The sequence below is a fragment of the Homo sapiens genome, chromosome 3 (assembly GCF_000001405.40).
Source record: "Homo sapiens chromosome 3, GRCh38.p14 Primary Assembly".
Classification (NCBI taxonomy): domain Eukaryota; kingdom Metazoa; phylum Chordata; class Mammalia; order Primates; family Hominidae; genus Homo; species Homo sapiens.
In genome coordinates, this window is record NC_000003.12 from 148,847,373 (window position 1) to 148,872,131 (window position 24,759).

The 24,759-nt window shown below is 39.4% G+C and overlaps 2 protein-coding genes across 2 annotated transcripts in view; both read left to right on the top strand.

Annotated features, from left to right (window-relative positions):
* The window catches only part of CPB1 (carboxypeptidase B1), a 32,377-nt gene extending 19,562 nt beyond the window's left edge, over positions 1 to 12,815 (top strand). The window contains exons 10-11 of the mRNA NM_001871.3: positions 10,085 to 10,169; positions 12,443 to 12,815. Coding sequence (NP_001862.2) covers positions 10,085 to 10,169; positions 12,443 to 12,630 — 273 coding nt within the window. The 3' untranslated portion in view covers positions 12,631 to 12,815. The remainder of the gene's footprint in view (positions 1 to 10,084; positions 10,170 to 12,442) is intronic.
* A 5,108-nt stretch (positions 12,816 to 17,923) lies between these two features.
* The window catches only part of CPA3 (carboxypeptidase A3), a 31,908-nt gene continuing 25,072 nt past the window's right edge, over positions 17,924 to 24,759 (top strand). Inside the window, exons 1-3 of the mRNA NM_001870.4 lie at positions 17,924 to 18,003; positions 18,101 to 18,176; positions 21,543 to 21,667. Of these exons, the coding sequence (NP_001861.2) occupies positions 17,936 to 18,003; positions 18,101 to 18,176; positions 21,543 to 21,667 (269 nt within the window). The 5' untranslated portion in view covers positions 17,924 to 17,935. The remainder of the gene's footprint in view (positions 18,004 to 18,100; positions 18,177 to 21,542; positions 21,668 to 24,759) is intronic.

Below are 24,759 nucleotides of genomic sequence, written 5' to 3' on the forward strand. Positions count from 1 at the left end.
AAAAAAAAAAAAAAAAAAAAAAAAGACAAGTAAGTCCTGCCTTTAGAATATTATGAATAATTTTTGCTACTTCCTAAGGAAATTTTCTCCAGTAAAAGAACCAAGCCTCAGAGTTAGCAAGTTTAATGGGCCAATTCACATGTGTGCCAAATGGTGTAAAAATGTTCCAACAGAACATGAGTCACTGATACTCTTCCCTAAGAGTCACTTCTTTGTTTAAAGTCAAGGAGAGGTAATAGTAAAAGAGATACTATTCAAAATCCTGTCCTCCAAAATTGTTAAATTCTAATTGCCAAAGAAGTAGAGTAAGTAGAATTCTACCGAAGTAAAATGTTCATAATCTATTCTCAAAAGGAGAAAAAGCACAAGCCACAAAATAATCTTATCTTGGATGTTTGTTTCTACACATACAAAACTAAAAAGTTCAAATAAAAATACATGCCACTTTTATCTTTACCAGAGTACAAGACAGGTAACTAAAATGCAAAAATTTAATTTGATGTATCATACTCATTGATTTAAAAGTTATTTTTAATTTCCAATAATTTTCTCTATTGATTAAGCTTTTCTCTAGTATCTTAAAAGAAATATTTAAATGCCACTAGTAAGTGGCATGCTACTTAAGGTGACTGTTATTTGATTATCTGATTCATTTGGTGTCTGAATTTAGTTTAGCACGCCAAAGCAACTTTAATATTTTGAGTAGCTGGAGATCCTTCCAACTTTTTCTTATATTGTAGAATTCTAGTTTACTTACTTCCAGAGCACATTTTGCTAAAACAAGCTCATTAACTATAGTGCAATTACAAATATATGTATAGACAAAAAAGAATATGAGTCTCTCAAAAATAACAGTATTAACAGTTTTACAGTTTTTATTTACAATGAGGATTTCAAGGGGAAAAAAATGTCTTGGTCTAGAAAAGTTAATTTTGCACCCAAATCTAGTGCCTCCATATTAATTCTTACATAGAGAAATGTGACTCTGCTGCAGAAAACAAAAGGTAGTAAAACATTAGGAACATGATTTCTTGCATCATACCACATTAAAATTTAAAGGAAACAATGAGGACTTACAGCGTTCTGCCAAGTCATTGGTGTACAAGAGATTTCTATTTTTCTTTATACCTATAAAATTATTATTTTATTTATAGCAAAAAAATATATATGTTTCAAGGAGAATAAGACTAGACTAAAGGAAATTATTTTGTGCTTATGTTAGCATTTTCAGCCCAAACTTAGGACATCCTATAAACAGCAGTCCTTTGATATCTGAGTCATGATAAAAATGTATGTGCCTTCATTTCTGAATGATTTTACATGTAGCTTGCCTAATAATTGCTCATATCATGAGACAACCTTCAGAAGAAAGAAAGGCAGAGATAAGAATGCAAAAGACCAATGAAGTAAAGAACAGGAAAAGTATTATATGGATTGCAGAGAAGACTACAATGTTTCTCTAAGATATGTTTAGCAGAGCAGTAGAAAGTAGATGGAATAACAAGAATATCTTACACATATAATGCTTTCCCATTTGCAAACTGCTTTTACTCATACTATATTGTTTAAAGCAAGAATACAAAGTGCACTCTGAGCTTCTAATGGCCTCATAAACTGTCCAGTCTCTCAGTGTAGACCTCTTTTTTTTTTTTTTTTTTTTTTTTGAGACGGAGTCTCGCTCTGTCGCCCAGGCCGGACTGCGGACTGCAGTGGCGCAATCTCGGCTCACTGCAAGCTCGCTTCCCGGGTTCAAGCCATTCTCCTGCCTCAGCCTCCCGAGTAGCTGGGACTACAGGCACCCACCACCGCGCCCGGCTAATTTTTTGTATTTTTAGTAGAGACGGGGTTTCACCTTGTTAGCCAGGATGGTCTCGATCTCCTGACCTCATGATCCACCCGCCTCGGCCTCCCAAAGTGCTGGGATTACAGGCGTGAGCCACCGCGCCCGGCCAGACCTCTTTAATATAAAGTTGCCACTACCGTCAAAGGAAGTTTTGAGACTTAAAAGAAAAACAATGAATTTAGATTTCCAAAATTCTAAAGGACAATGAAATATTGAATTCTGTGACCTTGTTATTGTCAGAGAAATTAAAACTGGGAGAAAAGGCTCTCAAACCTAGCCATATGGCTGCACTTATTGGGCAGGAAGAAGCTCCCAATCTTTGGTGCACCTCCCCTGCAAAGATGTCTACATGACACTGTTAATAATAATAATAATACAACTTCAAAGTGAAAAATGGGAAGCCAGAAGAATATCCAGCCAACAAGTATCTTGTCCCTCTCCACAGATTAACAAAATGGAAAGCAGAGCGCACTACACAAAGGTGCCAATCCAGGGCATGTGTCTTGCACCATTTCTCTGCATTAGAAGCACAGAATGTTATGCCTAGAAAAGTCTTAGAAATTCTCTGGTCTGTTTCTCATTTTCCAGCTGAGGCATGGAATGCTTGGCGAAGCCAACACTAGTAGTCAGGGTAGCCCTGGGTCTAAGGCTACTGGCTCCTGAGGAATCTTCTAGGCTGCCTCAATTTCCAAAGACACACAGACACATATTTAAGTGGCCACATGCTATGGTGGTACCCCATATAACTGCTTTGCAGAATAACATTCATCAGAAAGTCTTTAATCCCACACAGTACATCATAATTACCTCTGCCTCTGGACATTAATAAAGATGTACTCTGGTTAGCTAAGATGACTAACTTCTCATGGCCTAGTCTTTATGATTCTGGCCCATTCTTTTGAGAGATATATATTCATTAACGAGGAAAAAGATAACAGTAACCAGAAGAAGAAATATGACAGACTTTCTGAAAAATTATTAAATGTGAACAAAAGATAGAAAGCTACTTCCAAATTCTAACACCTTCCAGTCCAGTGGCAACTCAGTCACTGCCTCTTAATTGAAGTTTTTTTTGTTTGTTTGTTTGTTTGTCTGTTTGTTTTTGAGACGGAGTCTCGCTCTATCACCCAGGCTGGAGTGCAGTGGTGCAATCTCGGCTCACTGCAAGCTCCACCTCCCGGGTTCATGCCATTCTCCTGCCTCAGCCTCCCGAGTAGCTGGGACTACAGGCACCTGCCACCACACCCGGCTAATTTTTTTGTATTTTTAGTAGAGATGGGGTTTCACCGTGTTAGCCAGGGTGGTCTCGATCTCCTGACCTTGTGATCCGCCTGCCTCAGCCTCCCGAAGTGCTGGGAGCCACCGCGCCCGTCTTAATTGAAGTTTTAATTAAGGCATTACTAAGATAGAAGTCCACTGCTCTCCTCAAGAATTTGAGTATAATGCAAGATTATAACTAAAGATAAACGTAAAAATCAGAGGGAAGAAATATTGTGATTAGAAGGCAGACAGTTGCAGGGCCATGCACACACCCATGCACATCACTCATCACAGCTGTACCATGTCCCTGCCTAATAGCAAGAGTAGCAAGCCACAATTCTGCTTCCAGGCAGGCTTAGGTGAACAGGGCTTTAGGCACAAAACATCTGCTGCAGGAATTGTCTCCAACTTTATACTCTCATTTAAAAGACAAAAATTTTAAATGACAAACTCAGAATTCATTTAATAAACTAGTCATTTATTCAACATTATGCTCTTTAAGTGACTTCTTGGCCTGATAAAATTCTCCTACCAGGCTTGCTCAGTACATGGCTTATCAATCATCGAAAATTTCATGGCCAAGCCTGGTGGCTCATGCCTGTAATCCCAGCTCTTTGGGAGGCCGAGGCAGGAGGATCACTATGGTCAGGAGTTTGAGACCAGCCTGGCCAACATGGTGAAACCTCTTCCCTACTAAAAATACAAAAATTTGGCTGGATGTGGTGGCACACGCCTGTAGTCCCAGCTCCTCGGGAGGCTGAGGCATGAGAATCCATTTGAACCCAGGAGGCAGAGGTTGCAGTGAGCCAAGATCATGCCACTGCACTCCAGCCTGGGTGACAGAGCAAGACCCTGTCTCAAAAAAAAAAAAAAAAAAAAAAGAAAGAGAAAGAGAGAAAAAAAGAAAGAAAGAAAGAAAGAAAAAGAGAAAGAAAGAAATTTCATTGAGCACCTATTAAGTGTTCATTATAAAGTATGTTTCCTGCCACTGAGAATTTACAATCCTACTGAAATGATAAGACTTGGGTACCAGAAACCATACAAAAGGAGAACAGAATTGGGAGTTTCCAGTTAGTGCAATAGTAAGAATTCAGGAAAGGAAAATAGCAATGTTTGCTGAAGCTGCTCAGTGAAGATTATAGAGAGGGGATGCAATTTGTTCTGAGCTTTGAAGTCTGGGCAGGATTTGAGTGGCAGAGAAAGGAATAGGGTGTTTTAGGCAGAGAAAAGAGCCAACAAATGAACAATGGAGAAACTGAAAGATGAAGTTGAGGAAGAAAGTAGAAGAGGGTCATCCTGTATCGAGTGTTCTCCTTAGGGAAGAGTCGGGGCAAGGGCCAATCAATGAGGTAACCAGGTTGTGTAGGCACTTGAATGCCAGGATGAATCCTGTGTCACAGTGGGCCCTGGAGCCAGGGACCTGGAAAATAGGATTGCAGGTCCATTACAGGACTTCCAGTAGAATCTGGAATTCAAACAACAAACAATTTTTATTGTAACCATGTCCAAATATTTCATGGGACAGACTTATACTGAAAAATTATTGTTCCTCTGAAATTTAAATTTAACTGGTCAGTCTGTATTTTTTGCTAAGCCTGAACGTTCTGGGAATAAAGTGATGTTTTAGCAACAGTGACCTAGCAGAGGTGTTTAAAAGATAGCTGTAATGTCATCAACGAGAAAAAGGCATTCTCATAGCACCTTTAAAATCAGTTGTCTTTCTTTTTAATCTTTTTCCTAAAATAAATTCTAGTTTACCATAACTAAATATTTTATATGACTTCCATTTCAACTAATTTTGCCCCCCACTCCCACTCCCACCCCCAGATGACATTTGGCAATGTTTGGGAGACATCTTTGGTTGTCATAACTGTCGAGCTCTACTGGCATCTAGTGAGTAGAGGCCAAGGGATGCTGATAAACATCCTACAATGCACAGAACAGCCCTCCCATCCCCAACAAATTATCCAGCCCAAAACGTCAAGAGTGCCAAGGTTGAGAAACTTGCTTTAAATAAATATAAGAACAAAGTCACATTCCTGGACAAAGGCTCTCGCCTTTCACAGGATCTTATACTTTCTTCACAAAACTTTACAATGTTCTGCAAATTACAAGTGCAAGAGAACCTACAAATCCCCCATTAGACAGTATTTATTTATTTGGGAGAAACTCCACTTCCACCAGAAAAATAAATAAATAGGTAAATAAATAAATACATTCTCTAGACTTTGCAATTTCAGCTGACTCACACTTCACATTTCCCTTGAATTTCAAAGAGCTTAAAAATATGTATGCAGATCAGCCAAATAAAAAGTTTGGTTTTCATCAGTGAAAGCGTTCCCACACTCCCCGTGGGCTCTGTGGAAATCGGCAGGCCTGGTTCTCCTAAGCCAAACTTTTTCCTAACTCCTTGCCCTTCTCTAATCTCAGGGCCTCCTTTTTCTCAAAACATATTTGCTTTTTCAGGTCTCAAATGCTTTCTCCTTGGTTCCTGCTTATAGACCGTAAGGGCTTCTTCTTTTGCACCAAAATTATAAAAGTTAAGTTTCTTATTGGTCCCTTGGTGTAATTTACCCATTATCGCAGGACAGAAGGAAGGAAACTGCAGTTAAGGATTATTTTGATGTTTCTCTTATCACAAATATTCACCCATAGGGATGGCTAAACTCAGAACTTTCAGTTAGAAACAAAGTTCTACAGAAAATTTTCTTTAAATTGTTTTATACCTTATAGTTGGTTTGGAGCTTTTGTTTTCTTATGCTGTAATAATGGGTCACTGGAAGATTAGAAGAGGCAGCCCCCTGTCATGATGCTGGCTGTGTACAAGAGATTGGAACAAGGGCTATGTGCACAGTCACGAAAGGGGAGTTTCTTTATCATATATTCGATGGGAATGCAGGTCAGTGGAAAAGAATATCCTCTCCTTATTCATCTCACCAGGTCCTTGGAACTCAATGCCTGGAGAAACATTACACTAAGCTTTTACTTTGTCTCTTGGGCTACGAGCTAGATGTGACATTTTAGACTCTCTCTGTCTTTTGCTCTAGGACCAAGGCCTCATTTTGAGGAAACAGATGACAAAAGAGAACATGCATAAGATGTGAAAATTCATAGCTAAGGATTAATAAAGGCTGACCATGTTTGGCCTTGACTGAAAGCAAAGTTTTCTCTCAGGCTGGTTTATATTTAGCTTCCTTCTGTTCTTTACAATTGGTAAAACCAGCTCCAGCAACACTTCTTTTGAAGTATTCCAAGGCCACAAGGAGAAGTGAAAAAGAGCAGAGGATTTAAAGAAAGAAGAACCTAGCTCAAGTCAGCCACTTATGGGGCTGTGTGCCCTTGAGCAAGTTCTTTTATCCTCTGTGAGTGTTAGTTCTTTTATCTGTAAAATGGGGATAAAAATATCTAGCTCTTATCAAGAGCTCTTTGTAAAGCTTAAGTTTTTATGTAAATGTTAGTTCTGATTTTGAATCCACTGAGAAACAATGTAAGATGTCCCTCAAAAGGCAAGTTTTATAGAAATCATCACTAATTGGAGTTTCAAGATATGGACCGAGTTCTCTGCTGTGTCGTTGCTTCTTGGTTCTTCCATCATCTGCCCTCATCTCTTTTTACAGAAACATGAAGGGAAAAGAGTTACCACTCTAAATTGTAGCAAATGCAAGAATTACCTTTCTCTCTACCATTCTTAGCAGGGGTCAGTCATCTGGGTTGATTGGAACATTCCCACTGAGCTTGCTGCCCCAGGTGGAATTCCATTCTGCTAGAAAATTCTGTGTTGGTGAAATATGGACAGATAATGTTGAGAAGATAAATGAGTAACATTTGTGAAATTATTTGAACTCTTCTAAAGAAAAGACCCACACTGATTCCAGGGATTTTTGTTAAGATAATTGGAATTTAAAATATGATATTTTACTTGATTAATGTCTGTTCTGACTTTTTTTGTCTTTTGGCCTTGGAGGGGCTAAGAGAAAGGATTCATAGACTTTTTTTTTTAATTAATAGAAATAAGTAAAATGCACAGAAGATGTCAATGTCTAAATGTGGCATCCTATCAACCATCAATAAATGGTACCACTGCCCTCCCCCAGAAGCATCCCCAATCTCCACTCAGGTGGGTTCAGCCTCTGCAAAGCTCAGCACTCTGTACCTCCACCCAAATCTTGATTATTCATAATGCCCCTAAGCCAGAGTGTTAGACTCAGTCAACTAATCATGTGCTAGGTGCTGTGCAATCTGCTGAGGATACAAAATGAATAGCCAACAATTCCTTCCTTCAAGGAGCTCACCTGGTGAGGAAATAGATGCAAAAACAACTGATTATAGCATACAGTGAACCCTGATAAAAGTGTGGGCCCCCAAAAAGGAGAGGGGCTCAATGCTTCCTAAGAGAGTAGAGGCAGCTTCACAAAGAAGATAACACTAAAACTGAATCTGGAAAAACAATAGCAATTATCCATATTAGTAAAGAGAGAAAGAGGATTCCAGTGAAGAGAAAAGGGTACCCACAGTCATGGAGGTCAGGAGAAGCAGGAAAGGGTGTACAGGGAAGTAATTCAGGAAAATCTACCTCAGAAGGAACACGGGAATGCACAACAAATAATGTAGCCTGAGAGACAAGGCCGGACCTGGTTTGCAACAACTGTTTTTGCCAAAAGAGGTTTGACATGATAGAGCCATCGAAGACGTGGTGATGAGGTGATCTTCAGAAGATGAGAGATGAGGTGGATATCAAAATGAGAGAGCAACTGAGGACAAGAGCTGAGAACTTAGGCATAAACTAAATGTTCCTCCAGTGTGCACCTGTGACAGGAATAAAATAACAACCTTTTTAAGCTCACATCAACCTCAGATATTGCTTCAGCATCAAAAAAAAAATAGAGCAACTGTTGCCAAAAGATGCCGATGACGGTGTAGAGAGAACTTGGATGTCACTTCACATGCCCAGAGTGTGGTTTGAGGAAAGGACAACTAAACATTTTTCTGTGGCCTTAATGGAAATCATGTCTAAATTGATATAATAAGTCAAAAGAGATAACAGATCACAAGTAGCCCCCTTTGGTTTTGTCTGAAAACTGTATTACTACATTGCACCAGTAAATATATTGAGAGACTTGAAAGACAATCAATCAACACACGAGTCCAATAGATAATGACAATGACTATTAAATCTTCTCTAGTCTTCGTAACTTTATATGTTTGGAACTAATATTGAAGAATCATATTTCTACTAACTAAAAATAATAATTCAAGGCTTAAGGAAAAATTGAAGTAAAGCCTGAAGAAGGCAACCAGGGAAGGAATAAGAATTCTTTAAGATCAGAGGTTCTGCCTTTCAGATAAATAACTAACTGGAGATTTCCTTTGATAAATGGCAAGATAAAGAAATTGTAGAATGGTAGAAAATATCATGTTTACCTACAAAAAGAACTATTGCCTCACCATGTTTCACATCTCTAGAAGATGGTTTTAAATCTATTATGAGCATTATGTAATGTTTAACTGGTTCTGGTTTCAATTGGCAGTGGAACCTAAGGGTTTAAACAAAGGGTTAAAAAAATCTAAATCTAGTGTCTTCGTTACAATAAGATTAAACAAGAGGAGCAATATATTTAGGCCACAACAGTAAAGATTTCATGCAGTTAGAGAAAGCATGTCTTAGTTTATCAGTTTAGAAATAGGAAAATGGAACCCTAAAATTTGCAAGTACCGACCCAAAACTCTGAGAATAATGTTAGTTCCAGGAAGCTGATTGCATCATTTCAGTGGACCAGAACAGAAAATAATGAGTTACATTTAATAACTCTTTTTAAGTTTTCTAATTTACCACCTGGCTGATAAAGTATTAATGCTATAGGAATTGGAATCCTTGAAGTCTTACGGCCACGCCCTCATCAGTTTGACATAAGATTCTACTAAACTAGTTTCAACATTAGAATAAGGAAAGGAAAATTCCTACTTTGTAAAAATCATATTATTCTGATTTCATCACCAACCTCACAGTTTTCCAGGCATATGTAGAAGAAGTAATTATAATGCCAAAGTATGAAATATAGCCGGTTTCATAACCGGAATGAATTATGGCTAATTCTCCTGCAGTAAATAATTTGTTTTTCAAATCTGTATTCCCCAGACAGCTGAGCCAGGCCTTGCTTCTCAAGTGTTTTATTTAAATAGGCAGTATGTCAGTGGAGTTTTACCACAGAGTTTCTGAGCGCAGAGAGCCTTTCCCTAGGAGTGGGGTGCAGGGAACTGGAGGGCAATGGTTCTTATGAGAAGGTGATGATGCTTCTAAGAAAAAAGATTACACGTAAGTTAATACCTAACAATTTTTTTTAATTCTGAAATTCAAATGTTCTGCATTTTGAAATAGAATGAATATTCTCTAACTTTTTAGTCTAAAAAATTTCCAAGCTGGAGCTACCACTCATCCTTGGAACTGCCAATTCCTAAGCATTTTCATGCTGGCACTGAATGTTGCATTGACTAGCCATTCCTATGTGCAGTTTCTAATGCTCCTGCCCTAACTCACACAACCCTATTGTAACTTAATCTGGCTTTATAAACTGCCACATTGCCAAGTGTTTTTTTTTTTTTTTTTTTTTTGCTTTGTTTTCTTTGCGTTTTTGCATGCGTGTGTTTTGGTTTGTTTGCCTGCAAACAGGTAAACAACTTCTTTGCACAACCATAAAGACTTCCTTGTCTCCTGCTTTTCTGTTACAAACTCTTACAAGACAAGATAAATAGAGGCTCAGAGTGAATGCTTGGGGAGGGTATTAGGGAAGACATTCTTGCACAAGAATTACTTGGATCATATCACTAGGTTAAGTAGAAAAATGAAAATGGGTCCTGAATAAGCATATAATACGATCCAAATTGTTACTTACATGCTTTGAATGCCTTAAAAATAATGTACAGGGCATTTGTTTGGCAGTGTGCTTTTATTTATTTCCTTACTTATTCCTGTTTCTTTTGCAGAATGCCCTGGCTAAAGCTACTGTGAAAGAACTTGCCTCACTGCACGGCACCAAGTACACATATGGCCCGGGAGCTACAACAATCTGTGAGTCTTGGCTTCAGAACTGTGCAAAGAACCATGTGCCTAAAAAGCCAACGAAAGGTTCCTGGGGCCTTTCTTTTCTGATAGTTTAAAGCATGTGGCTTTTGCCTCACAGCAAATTTTTCTAAAATATGTAATCAGTTTTCTGTTCAAAAAAAAAAAAAGGAGGGAAAGCCTGGACAACATAGCAAACTTTTCTCTAAAAAAAATTAAAAAATTAGCTGGTCATGCACACCTGTAATCCCAGCTACTCAGGAGGCTGAAGCGGGAGAGTCACTTGAGCCCAGGAGTTCTAGGTTACAGTGAGCTATAATTGCACCATTGCACTCCAGCCCGGGTGACAGAGCAGGACCCTATCTCAAAATAAAAAGGGAGGAGGAGAAAAATATCCTTTTCAACCCACAGAGACATTTCCTCCCTGTAAGCATCTACTGAGCACTTACTATGTGCCAGGGCCTTACTAGGCACTAAGAGAACAAGAAAGTAAGAATAGAGAGAAGAAAAGATGAAAAGAGAAAAGGAAGGAGGGAGATCAGGGCAATCTTTAAAGAACTAGCAGTAGGGAAGCAGCAAAAATAAGCAGTCTTTTGTGATACAGGTGCTAAGTGCTGTGACATTAGGATGCACAAGGAAAGAACACACCCAAAGACCAACCAACCCCACAGTATCAGAATTAACTTCCCAAGATGATGACACAAAAGTTTTATCTGAAAGGATTGTTGCTGGAGGAAAATATAAGACAGAGTGTTTTCAGCCGGGTGCAGTGGCTCATGCCTATAATCCCAGCACTTTGGGAGGCCGAGGCAGGCAGATCCCGAGATCAGGAGCTCGAGACCAGCCTGCCCAACATGGTGAAACCCCACCTCTACTAAAAATACAAAAAATTAGCCAGGCGTGGTGGCGGGCACCTGTAATCCCAGCTGCTCGGGAGGCTGAGGCAGGAGAATCGTTTGAACCTGGGAGGCGGAGGTTGCAGTGATCTGAGATCCTGCCACTGCACTCTAGCCTGGGCGACGAGAGCAAAACTCCATCTCAAAAAAAAAAAGACAGAGTGTTTTTTTGGCTAAACAGACGACAAACAAGTACCAGGGCTACCTGAGGCACAAGTCACCTTCAAGAGGTAGACACCAGTCCCTCTAATTAGACACTCAGTGTATGCAAGCAAGTGGCTAGAGTGGTAGGGGCTAGACCCAAGAGCTGTGGGTGCTGCAGCTTAGATTTATCTGGAAGGCACATTCCACAGGCCTCATTTTCAATTTCTACGTATATCTTCCTTTGCCTTCAAATGGTTTCTTTCTGCCTGAGGTTGGAAAGAAATTGAAACACACACATGACAAAAGACCCAGTCTCATCATCAAGTGGCCTCCAGTGCAGTTGGAGAGGCTCCAGTCCTGAGTTGTTGGGATTTATTTTAAGCCTTTATGCAAAATACAATTTTCTTTATTTTTATTATTTTTAAAAAACTGCTCTGAATCATATGAGGCATACTGTTTTCTTAAGGGGTTTCTAGCAGAGATAGCCCACCTATTTATATATGGTGAACTTGGTGCATGTTTTATTCAGTTCAACTAGGCTTCTTTTTCCATTACACTGTAAGACTTTGGAGGGCAGAGCCAACATCTCTCCTTTGTTCTGGCATCTTCAGAGTTGAGCCCATAGCCTGCTGTTCAGTGGGGGCTATACAATTGTTGATTGAAAAAACAGATGAGTGAATAAATGAACAAATGAATTAATTAGTACATATTCTATGTGTTAGTGACAACATGATTGTTATTGAATAAATTAATAACATATACCTTATCTACACCAGGCCCTATGCTAGATAAACACTAAAAATATGAAAATGAAGGCATAGCCCTGCCCTCAGCTTCTTCAATCTTATCGTTTGGCACAGTTTCAGCCGGGTTTAGAGTTTTCTCCTCTTGCCAATCATCATACGGCTTTCCTTATTTTCCTGAGAGATACACATCCTTTCACATATAAAGTGTAGTTTACCATAGCATACAAGCACACTGGGAATTTTGCATTACAGATTACGTACTTTCTGAAGTATTAAACACATCATTTCTACAAAGTGAAGTGGTGATACGTTTAATAAGGTTGGAGTAATTTTTTAAAACAGCCCCCATAACATTTATGATCCAGTTTACTAGAAAATTGGCCTACTCAAAATATTTTGCACAGTGAAACATTTGTAATGAAAAAAGAAACTGGCAATTTTTTAAAGCTCCTTCCTAGATTTAAAGTTTTTTTTCACTGCTGTTTGCACATTTCAGATCCTGCTGCTGGGGGCTCTGACGACTGGGCTTATGACCAAGGAATCAGATATTCCTTCACCTTTGAACTTCGAGATACAGGCAGATATGGCTTTCTCCTTCCAGAATCCCAGATCCGGGCTACCTGCGAGGAGACCTTCCTGGCAATCAAGTATGTTGCCAGCTACGTCCTGGAACACCTGTACTAGTTGAGAAAGCTGATGGCCTTGTTTCAAAATTCTCATTTTTCATTTCTTTTCTTTCTTGAATTCTTATTTTGGTTTGCCTGGATGTTTTGCAGATCCCAATCTTTCTTTTAAGCTTCTGGGTCTATTAAACTAGGTAGATCTTTTCGTATTGATCATAATAAAAGTGAATCATTACTATTGGAAAACTTGACATATGGTCTACTTCTTTGGGGAAACACTGATGTGAATGAATGACTAAGCAAGCCGTGCACAGTGAGGATCCGGTCAGCTGTATAGGAGTTAACATCCTGGGGTGCTGGCTGAGACCATCAGGGTGTAGATGCACTGATTATAGTGGGAGGCTTGTGAGCTAAGAAGAAATGTAAAGGGAAATTTAGGACTGTTAAACCTGGCATACATGAAAAGACACCATCTTTCTTGGTCTAGCTTTCATCTCAGCTCATTAAAGTTATTTTATCGGCTGTCTACTACATGCCATGCACTTTGCTAAGCAATTGAAGATGGAACAATGAAAAAGAAAGATAACATTTCTGCCCTTAATGGGTGTATAGGCCCTTTGGAAAGACAGACATTACACAAATAATTAACTCATTAATTAACAATTTATTAATTAGTAATCTAATTTACATTAATCAAATAAGTGCTGGATGAACTACACAAAAAGAACATACAAAAAGTCTACCTGCTTGATGTACGGGAGAAGCCTCCCTCAGAAACTGCTGTAACCTGAGAAATAAGTCACAGTTAGCTAGACAAAGGGAGCACCGCTTCCAGGCCTGTGGCTATCCCAAAAGTATAAGAAGAAAGCCAGTGAGGGTGAAATTTGGAGAGCTGAGGAAAGAGGAGCATGTGTACAGGCTGGGGAGGGTGGTAGGAACCATGTCAGGCAGAGCTTAGAGGTCACGTTAAGGACTGGGGACACTGGTCTAAGAACAATGAAAATCCATTGAAGATATTAAGTCATCAATGACATGGTTACAGTGTTTTTGGAACACCAACTAGGCTAGGGTGTGGAAAGCAGATCAGAAGTGAGACAAGAGGATACCAGGGACCCTGACTGGACCACTTGGACCAATGAAAGTGGCAAAAATCACTCCAGAACTTGATGTTTTCCGGGATTGGAATTGGACATGCTGTGTTGGGAAGTATTGTGCCAAGTTCAAATTTTAAAATAGAATGAGATGTATTAAAGTTACGATTTGGGGGCATCTCTTACTTAAAAATGATAGACTATTAACTCATTACTTTCTATAGACTTTCTGTAGTCTACTTTCATAGACTCTTAACTTATTACTTTCTATATGGCTTCAAGAAAAATGAGACTCCATATAGGGAGGGCATGATGTGCTAAAATATCTATAACAGTGTTCTATTCATAAAGAGAATCCATTGAAGTAACAACGGTTTGTGAAAGTTGTCAAGCCAAAGAATAATTAATTGCATTAATTGTCCACTAGGTGGTAGCAGTGCAGCTGCTACAATGTGTCACACACTCATCTTCAAACTCATTTAGTAATACATCATTTAAATAGACAGAGAACCATATGTGAAAAAAAAAAATCCCATTAATTTGTCAGCAACATTGGTGGTAATTTAAAAATAGATGTAATTTAGCTAAATATTCTTCCTCCTACTCTTTAAGTTATATCCACTTTGTGTATTGGAGGGCTAACATAGCCATAGTTACCTGAGTGAGGTAATCTTGCTGGAGGTGTATCATTAAACTCCTGTTCCACAGGATACTCCCTTGCTATCTCTGGCAAGTAACACCAACCCCTGACTAAGGGAAGCTGTGGCCCAAAGTATGGAAATCTTGGCAAACCACAAAGAACTCTCCTAATTCCCTAAATTGAATGCTTTAAAATAGAAATTAGGAATAATATATGTGGACTGCTTTTTTAAAATTCCAAGGAATTTTTAAGGGTAAGAACAAAGAATAGGAAAGCAAATATGCAAATATTCTTATTTGAAATCCCATGTATCTGAGATGTCCTGCACCTGAGAAATTTTTACTATGACCACTGTCTACTGAAAGTTAACAGGAAGCTGGGTAGAATTTCCACTTGCCTGGGCAAAACCAAGAAAAACAGAAAGAGAAATCTGCCTTAGTCTTCACTGTAGTAGTATCTGACCAGCTAATCAGAGACTGCTGTGAGTCCACCCAGCCTTGCCCACCTGAGAGCCCCAGGTTGGGGGGATACCTCTTCTTCTCCCTCTTTTATCCCACTCCCACCCTGAGATCCCAGAGCAGGCTCTGAGCCTTTCCTTCAGCTCCAAGCTCTCAGCTCCCAAAGCAACAGTGAACCAACAGCACAAGAGTAGCCCCTGAATCTTTCTTTCTCAAGTGGTGTGGGTAGAAAATAGCAAGACTGATTTTCTCATCTGGATTATGGAATTCCTACATACCTAGAATCATATGCCATTTGTTCATCTTATTCTGCAAGCTGACCTATATGAATTGGTCAAAGAGAGAATTTCTAGAAGGAAAAGAAGGCAGACCATAGCAAGTTAACATGTTAATTTGGGGGCAAAAAGGGTTCTGCTGAGTGATAATGATTAAAAATATATAGAGAAAAGCATAGCTAAACTATATGGTGATATTTTAAATCATGGCTAGACGTGCACTACTACAAATACCATAGAAAGTGCAGAGCTCAAGAAAGATGGAAAATTATGGCTGCATGAAGTATTCACCTCTAAGTCACTTTTTAAAGAGGTTGATTTAATCTGTGAAACATCACAGTCTTACATAGTCAATCCTAAAATGATACGGGGTTTGACAATTATTCATCCTACCCACACATATGCCAAGACCTTTTATAAATCTTGATGCAGTAATATAAGGCAGCACTGATCTATGCTTGCCAAGAAATAGCGCTTGTTCTGAGAAAAAGCTCTAGAACATTATTGAAATCCATCTATTGTATTTTTCTTCAGAGGCTAAATAGATTGGAGAGGCAGTGGGAGTCTCAAACACATCACATGTTTATATCATATTCCAGAAAGAAGAAATTGCCAATATGTAATCTATTAAGAAGCCAAAGATGTACTTTTATTTATTAACAAAGTCTTATCCTGAGAAATACCAAAGTCCTCAAAGCACTCACCTAGATTCCCCAAATAAAATAAAAGTGTTCTTCCTACTTGACCTGAAAAACAGACATAGAAGCTTTCTCCACACAATTTTAAAACCAGTCACAGAGGAAACAGCTTCAAGAAAATATAACAGAATTCTAAAATTAAGAGGATTTCTATTTTTCCTCTTTCACCTTTCCTGTATTTTCCAGAATCATTTTCAATGGGCATTTATAATTTTTAGAATCAGAAAATAAAACTCTAAAAAGCAAAGCTATAACATTAAAAAAAATTATTGAAGTAGTCCACATGAAAACAAATACAGAGACATATTTTATCCCTAAAGGTCACGGCCACCACTTTAATCTACCACATGATCTATTTTGATACCGGTTCTGCAGGCTGGCAGTGGCCCACTGGAAGTCTCTGTTGACAGCACATGAACATTTTATCAACTGTCTAGAGAGCATGGACGTGTTTTTTAGCACCTACCACGAAGTCCCTAACATATCCTGTCTCACTAAGCCTCACAGCCACTTGTTAGAGTCACATTAGCATTCCCATTTTACAAATGAGGAAACCAAGGCCCAGAATAACTAGGCAGCCTGCTCAAGGGGATGTAGCTAGCGTGTGGGAGCCACATTGAAGTGATGTCTGTCGAAACCCAAAGTCAAGGTCTTTCTTTTTCACTGTTCCCTGGTCAAAAGTATCTTTAGTCAAAAGCAATGGAGCAAGCATTTGCTTTGGGAGTTCTCAGTGCTGGTGAGCTTGCCCAGTGTCAAGAACATGAAGGCATTTGTAAAACCCTCCTCTTCCTTACCTGCAAGGCTGGAGCCGGAAAATCCATTTGGGGAAATAAAAAAAAGTCCCGAGTTCTACCACACACCCATCAGATAGAGAAGAATGGAATTACTGCTGCTGTATATATAACAGGGGCGTGTCTCCAACCACACTATTTTGATAGTACATAAGCGTGACTCTGAGAAGTTTTATCTACAGTCAGCTATACGTTTGTCAATGTGAAGAGGTGGTTTTCAAAAAGGAAATTCTAATAAGTTAACTGATTAGATAAATTCACTTACTCTTTTAGGTTACCTATGATTCTAGGTAAAGGTGTTATTCTCCCATAATTAACCAAGTTGTGTTCAAGACTAAACATCCCTCCAGAGATGGTTGTGAATGGTCTATAGGTGGCTTTCATTAATTCAACTCTCAAAAGGCATTATTTGGCAATTACAGCATCCAGGCTCTGAAGACAGTGTCCAATTAATAAACATTACAGCATTGATATTTTCTTGCTGTCAGGTAGTTCTCAAGTTGCCTTAGAAATAGGGGTCACCTCTGAGGACAGAGAGAAGAGAAGGGCAAAGAGTTAGGGCAGTGCTTTAGGTCTTTAGTGTTTATTTCTTTACCCAGAGAAGTACAGGAAAAATATAACAAAAATGTTATCATTGTAAAATCTAAATGGTGAACATTTCAATGTTCGCCATAGTACTTACAGCATTTTTAGTACATTTATATTTTGTAATTTAAATTTTTGGGGTTTTTTTTGCCTCCCAAGTAGCTGGGATTAAGGCACCTGCCGCCACGCCCGGCTAATTTTTGTATTTTTTAGTAGAGACAGGGTTTCACCACGTTGGCCAGGCTGGTCTTGAACTCCTGACCTCAGATGATCCACCCGCCGCGGCCTCCCAAACTGCTGGGATTACAGGCGTGAGCCACCGTGCCCAGTCAATTTAAATGTTTTTAATTTCACAACTTACATTCTAGCTTCAAAAATATATTTTACATTATTACGAACCACTCACCAAGATTTTATGGCCAGATACCCAAATTCATCTCAGTCTCCAAGTGCAAATTTTAAAACTAATTTCTTCCATCATTCAATTCAAGCAGAATGGTAGAGTAGTATTTTAGAACAGATAGAACTAGTAAATCCCAGCTCTGTGAACATACTTTCTCTGTTACCTTGGCCAAGTTATTTGCTAAAGGCATTTGCTTCCCATCCTGTATCTGTAAAATGGGTATTTCCTATTGCAAAAGGTAGATAAGTAGCATGTGCTTGGTGGGTTAGTGTTTTTCCCTCTCCAGCTGGAAAAAAAAAACCTGGTGTGGGGGAAGAAGGGGAACAGTTTGTGCAACAGAACCCTAAGAGGAAATCAGCTGCTCATCAAGATAAGGGCTGAGGCATAAAACTGCCAGAGGGTCTCAAGGCAGGCAAAGAAGAACCATGAGGCTCATCCTGCCTGTGGGTTTGATTGCTACCACTCTTGCAATTGCTCCTGTCCGCTTTGACAGGTAAATCTTACTTCCTGTGTTCCAGTCTCTGTGTAGAAGAGAATTAAAGGTTGTTTCCTTACAGTTCACTTTTTTTTTTTCATTTGCCTCCACAAAGGGAGAAGGTGTTCCGCGTGAAGCCCCAGGATGAAAAACAAGCAGACATCATAAAGGACTTGGCCAAAACCAATGAGGTAAGCATTTAGAGGGATATTTTATCTTTTCTTACTGTTCTCTAAAAGATGCTTCTTCTTATTTTACTGTCAATGCCCATGGGACTACAAAAGACTATTGAACATAAGGGGAAAGCAGGAGCTATCTGGATAATTCAGCCAATGGCCAATACTTCACCTGTTCTGGTTTTGGTCTTGGTTTCCAAGACTACCACTTCTGTTTTTCCTCCCAAAAGCTTTTCAAACACCAGCTTTTTCAAGGTAAAACTATGAAATCAGGAGCTGTTCTTGGCCTCCTTATCAGGGCATCTTTCTCTTGCCTACGGGTGCCATTCCCTCTCCATTCTCCCCACTCCGACCCTCATCTCCTCTGGTGCCATAATTTCTCTTGAGTACTAACTGAAAACGTTGAGGCACTGGCTAATATCAAGATGTGACCCTTTCCAAGAGCAGGTACATTTTCAAATAAGACTTTTAAAGTTAGATCAATCCTTTAAAATCCAACAGCCTAATATAATTTTATCATGTATTCAGCTGCTCCTATTTATGTTGCACCAGCCACCTTATATATGCCATTTCAAATTCTCCAGCAGATTCTCAATGTCAGGGTTATAATGTAACTCATTTGAAACAGAAGAGCTAAAGTGCAAAGACAATAAATTAAATGACCAAGATTACACATCAAATTTAAACCCAGAACTGGGTCTGGGATTTATTCCAGTCAAACATACAGTTACCTCTACATCAAATCAATCAAAGGCCCTGCCTATTCTAACTCCCAAATGTTTCTCAAATCCACACATTGCCCTCCATTCCACTGCCACTGCCAAGTTCATGTTCACTCTACCTCTTGCAAGGAGAATTTCCATAGTCCCTTAACTAGCAATCAGGGCTCTAGTCTTGACTCCCACAAAGCCAACTCTGCATTGCAACCTGATTGCTCACTCTAAAACTTGACAATTGCATTCCTCCGTTTGAGGGTCATTACTAAGAAGCAGCCTAGTACGGAAAAAGCATTTTCTTCAAAGTCAAACGCTTACATTCAAATCCAAGCTCTACGCTAGCTCTGTAGCCTTAGGCAACTTACTCAACATCTCTGGGTCTCAATTTCTTCTGCTATAAAATGGGGATAATAGTCATAGCTACTTCCTAGGGTTGCTACAAAGACTAAGTAAGCGTTTGATAGCACTTAGAAGCAGGCCTGCCATATTAAGCACCATAGAAGCGTTTTTTGTTTGTTATTGTTTTTGTTTTGAGACAGAGTCTCACTCTGTCACCCAGGCTGGAGTGCAGTGGCACAATCTCTGCAGCCTCCGACTCCCAGGTTCAAGCGATTCACCTGCCTCAGCCTCCCTATTAGCTGGGATTACAGGTGCCCACCACCATCCCCGGCTAATTTTTGTGTTTTTAGTGAAGACGGGGTTTTGCCATGTTGCCCAGCTGGTCTCAAACTCCTGACCTCAAGTGATCCACCCGCCTCAGCCTCCCAAAATGCTGGGATTACAGGCATGAGCCACCATGCCCAGTCAGAAGCATTTTCTTTTGGTATTGGTATAGCATTCAAAGCGTTTTATGATCTGCCAAACTACCAGCCTCTTCAATATCCTGCTCCTCCACCTTCTTCCACACCCTTCAAGCCCCATAAACACCAAAATCTCACCCACCTTGGCCCTGTACATCTTTTCTCATGAAAATGTGTTTCTCTCCCTTTTGACCTGGGTAAGTCCTACTTATTTCTCAAGATCCAACTCAGGCAGTGTCTCCTGCAGGACGTCTCTTCTGTTCATCAACTCTCGTGACTCAGTTTTGGCTGCTCCTTGTGCTCCTGGAATACCCGGTTCCTTCCTCTGGCATTGGTTAACATGTGGGAAACATGCATGTATGACTCTGTGTTCCACACCAAACCTTTCACATCTCATAAGTCCCTTATTAGTCTCTACAACTGTGGCACCCAGCTCTTTGCCTCCTGCTTAATACATGAAAGTTCACTAAGCTCTAAGCTCCTGCTGCACATTACCCTGCTAGAACACAGAAATGTCTATTGTGATAAGATGGCTCTGCCTAACTTGCCTTTGCATCACACTACATCTCTCATATGTCCAACTCATGATGTAGCTTTTTGATCAAAATAAACATTGGTTGGTTCATAGCAGCCTCATATTGTCACTTGATTGACCTCGAGGTAGAGGGGGACTCAACCAAGAAACAGCCAGGCAGACCTGAACACATACACAAGCAGGGGTGGAAATTGAGCTTTTCCTTCACATTTCCCAGGCTGGGGACTTGTACTTCATTTAGTTTCACAATTGAGTATGATTTTGAAGAACCACAAGAACTGGAATCTTTTCAATGTTTGCTTTTGTTTTTGTTTTTTGTGTTTTTTCTGAGACAGAGTTTTGCTCTTGTTGCCCAGGCTGGAGTGCAATAGCGAGATCTCGGCTCACTGCAACCTCCACCTCCCAGGTTCAAGCAATTCTCCTGCATCAGCCTCCCGAGTAGCTGAGATTACAGGCATGTGCCACCATGCCTGGCTAATTCTCTATTTTTAATAGAAGTGGGGTTTCTCCATGTTGGTCAGGCTGGTCTCGAACTCCCGACCTCAGGTGATCCGCACCTCAGCCTTCCAAAGTGCTGGGATTACAGTCGTGAGCCACAACACCCAGCCTCGAAATTATTTTGATCTGAATGCTATACTTCTGAGCTCATATACCAAATTTTTGAAATTGTCAGCTAGAGGAAGAGAAAGGAAAAAAAAATCTGCACCTGTTAACTGTCTTCATGCCCCAGACCTCAGACCTATTTCACAATCTTCACAACACTTCCCAGTGGACCCTCATTTGCCCCATTATTTCAGGAGAGAGGAGTAAAATTTAAAGAGTCCTAGTAACTTGCCCAAGGACATATTGCTAGAAAAATGACTTTGCTGGGGGTCTATGCCAACTGTTTGATACAATATCTTGTATCAGGATTTCCAGAGTTTATAGGGACATCAGGTTTTGAGGACTAACTAACCAGATATTTAACTTAAATTTCCAATTAGAGGCAGATTCTGTGGCTAGATGAATTGTGATCCCATTCAATCCCAAAATTGTGGAAGAAAAAAATTAACCAAAAGATCTGCCCATCCTTTTTAACTTGATAGACCTGAAGTCCTTAAAAAAAAAAAAAGTGATCAGGCACTAGGAAGGTTTCTTTCCTCCTCCCTAATATTCAACAGTTCTTAAATATATTTGCAAAAATCCCATAAACTTATTAAAAGAAGGGTCTGTATCTTAGTTATGCTGAGCCCCAAATTCCTTTCATGGTGTATGAGACATGATCATTTCTTAATCAATAAGTGTTGGGTAAGCAAATAAACTCTGACTAACATTGAGCTTATCTCTGCAGCTTGACTTCTGGTATCCAGGTGCCACCCACCACGTAGCTGCTAATATGATGGTGGATTTCCGAGTTAGTGAGAAGGAATCCCAAGCCATCCAGTCTGCCTTGGATCAAAATAAAATGCACTATGAGTAAGTCCTTGGCAAATATTGAAATTTGTTGGATATTCAAAGTTTTGGGAGCCTTGAAGTAGAGGAAAGTATTACAATGGACCTATTTTTAATTGGGCCCCCCAGAACGAAAGCTCTTTCTGTAAGATACAGATCACAGTTACTTCCAAACACATTATCGAAGCCTGTTTACAGAGGTGATAGAATCAAACTTGGCAGTTCAACATCTACCTTACATTTGCTCTTAGCTATAAGAATAACAATTACCTATATCTACCATCTCCAAAACCAGCCCCTCATAAGCACAGAGCCCACATGAGCAGGCATGAATGGTTTAGCCACATGTCATCACTACTGACAGGTAATCGGCCCAGATCTCATGAGCTACTGGCGCTGGCCTCCTTTTATATATTTGAATTTTCCTGATACATAAAAGGAGACCAAAAAAAAAAGTCATTGGTATGTCAGAAATACAGCAATTGGTATGTCATTGGTATGTCAGAAGTACAGCAATTAAAAATATACAATAAATAATTCTTTATGAAAAAAATTCTTCCTCAGAGAAAGCACAAGCAGAGCAGTAGAATACAGTTTAAATCAAAGAGAAAAGAATCTCAAATAGCCAAAGATGCAGAAATGAGTCATTCTGGCCCCACAGAGAAGTAAGAGAAAATCTGAATATATTGAGCAGCAACCATGGGCCATGCCCAGTCTGGGCCCTGGGCAGTGAATGAGAAGGAAGCCCAGCAATGAATATCATAAATCAATGTGTAATTTAGAAAATAAAATGTGTTGGCCATGCGCAGTGGCTCACGCCTGTAATCCCAGCACTTTGGGAGGCCAAGGCAGGTGGCTCATGAGGTCAGGAGTTAGAGACCAGCCTGGCCAATATGGTGACAACCCATCTCTACTAAAAATACAAAAATTACCTGGGCGTGGTGGCGTGTGCCTGTAGTCCCAGCTACTCGGGAGGCTGAGGCAGAAGACTCACTTGAACCTGGGAGGCAGAGGTTGCAGTGAGCCGAGATCGCGCCACTGCACTCCAGCATGGGTGACAGAGCAAGACTCCATCTCAAAAAAAAAAAAAAAAAAAAAAAAGAAAATGTGTTTTTATACTTTCAAACATTTCATAGTTTGATGTACAGAGGGATCCCATTTTAACTTCCCCAGGCCATGTTATGCCAGGATTCCCCTTTGTTGAGACCCTCATTGTCAAAACACTGCTAAACACTAGTTCATTTTTTTTTTTTGAACTTGCCATTTTATACCTCCATTACCTGACTTGGTACTTTAACTCAAAAGGTCTGCTTCTGGCTGAGATAAAGAAAGAGCCTGTTGATGTCAGTGATGTTATATTGCAGAGCAGGATTTACTACTGCTCACCATAAACTTGATTTTATTTATGATATTGCCACAATATCTCAAATAAACTCCATTGAAATTTAAAAATCACGTACATAAGTGAGCAAAAAACATTCTTATTCACGGCTTTAAAGATAACATTCTATTATTTGTGATGGTTATTGATGACTTTTTCGGTTTTGTTACTGTTTCAAGAAGGTTGTGGCAGAAATGTAAAAGTTAACAAATTGAAAATATATAATTCACGCTGTGCACATGTACCCTAGAACTTAAAGTATAAAAATATATATTTATAAAAAAAACTAATTGATACCAGCTTTTAACCCTTTTAACTTAATATACTAAGTTTTTCTGTTTTTATAAATCACATCATTAAAATTAGACACTTCAAAAATGTAACTACAAGACTGCAGAAATTTGTATTACATTATCTGTTTACATTAAGGTTCAGATAATGTATTGACTCTTTCATCTAAAAGAAATCAACCCTCTATCTTAAATAACCCCTGGTTACTGTGTCTCTTGTTTTGTTTTTTGAGATGAAGTCTCGCTCTGTCACCCAGACTGGAGTGCAGTGGCGCAATCTGGGTTCACTGCAAGCTCCGCCTCCCGGGTTCACGCCATTCTCCTGCTTCAGCCTCCCGAGTAGCTTATACTACAGGCACCTGCCACCATGCCTGGCTTTTTTTTGTATTTTTAGTAAAGACGGGGTTTCACCATGTTAGCCAGGATAGTCTTGATCTCCTGACCTTGTGATCCACTCACCTCGGCCTAGCCACCGCACCAGGCCTACTGTGTCTCTTGATTCACTTCATTGCCAGCTTTCTAGTATATGTGCCTAAATTATTACACTCTTCACTTTACTTCAATAATATAGACCTGGTCTGGATTCCTATGATAAACTAATTCTTACAAAGCATTCAGCCCAAGGTAAAATAAAGTAGTGGTGTGGCCAAATTTTATATAATTTGGCTTGAACAGCAAGGTAAAGAATTAGGTATTATGTTTTCCTTAATAGCCCTATAACGCAGTTACAATGTAGAAAATGTATCTAGAAAAGCTAGTTGCTTGGCATGAGCATGAATAGTGGAGTAAATCACTGTAAGACACCTAGGCAGGCAGCTAGCATCCTTCCAATTTATCAAATAGCTCACATCAGCCTTTTTTCTCCTTTGGTCCTCTAGGCCTCTTCTATCCTGAAATGATTCTGATTCAACTAGATGTCTAAATCCAGATCCTCAAATTAGTGTGTTTTTCACTCTGTCTTATGACAAAGGAGTTTCTTGCTTTCTACGTCAAGTACCAAAGTGTTAAATTACCTACAAAAATTGGTTTTATCAAATTAAAACATGAATTCTACAAAGTGGCCCAAATCAGCCACAGTTATGGGAAAGCCAAATAATTAGATAGTTACCTCCCTCAGAAATATAAATATGTAAAGTGATAAGTGCAGACAAGAACTACTTAAAATCTTGTCTCCAAGTACTAATTATATAGATAATTTTATTTGCATATTAATTATATGCATTACTTGGTGTCAGTCAGTAACAGAAAAGAGTTCTAAGAACAGAAACATCTGGTCGGACCCAGGCACCAGGCTGAATTAAACCATATTAAAAGGCTGGTTTGACACAAAGATTTACTTACACACCCTTCATTAGACAGGGTATATCAACTACTATTTAGTTTAAAGCATCTGTGTGGTTTTTCTTTAATTTTTAGAAAATTAAGTTAGTAAGCCAGATTTTATT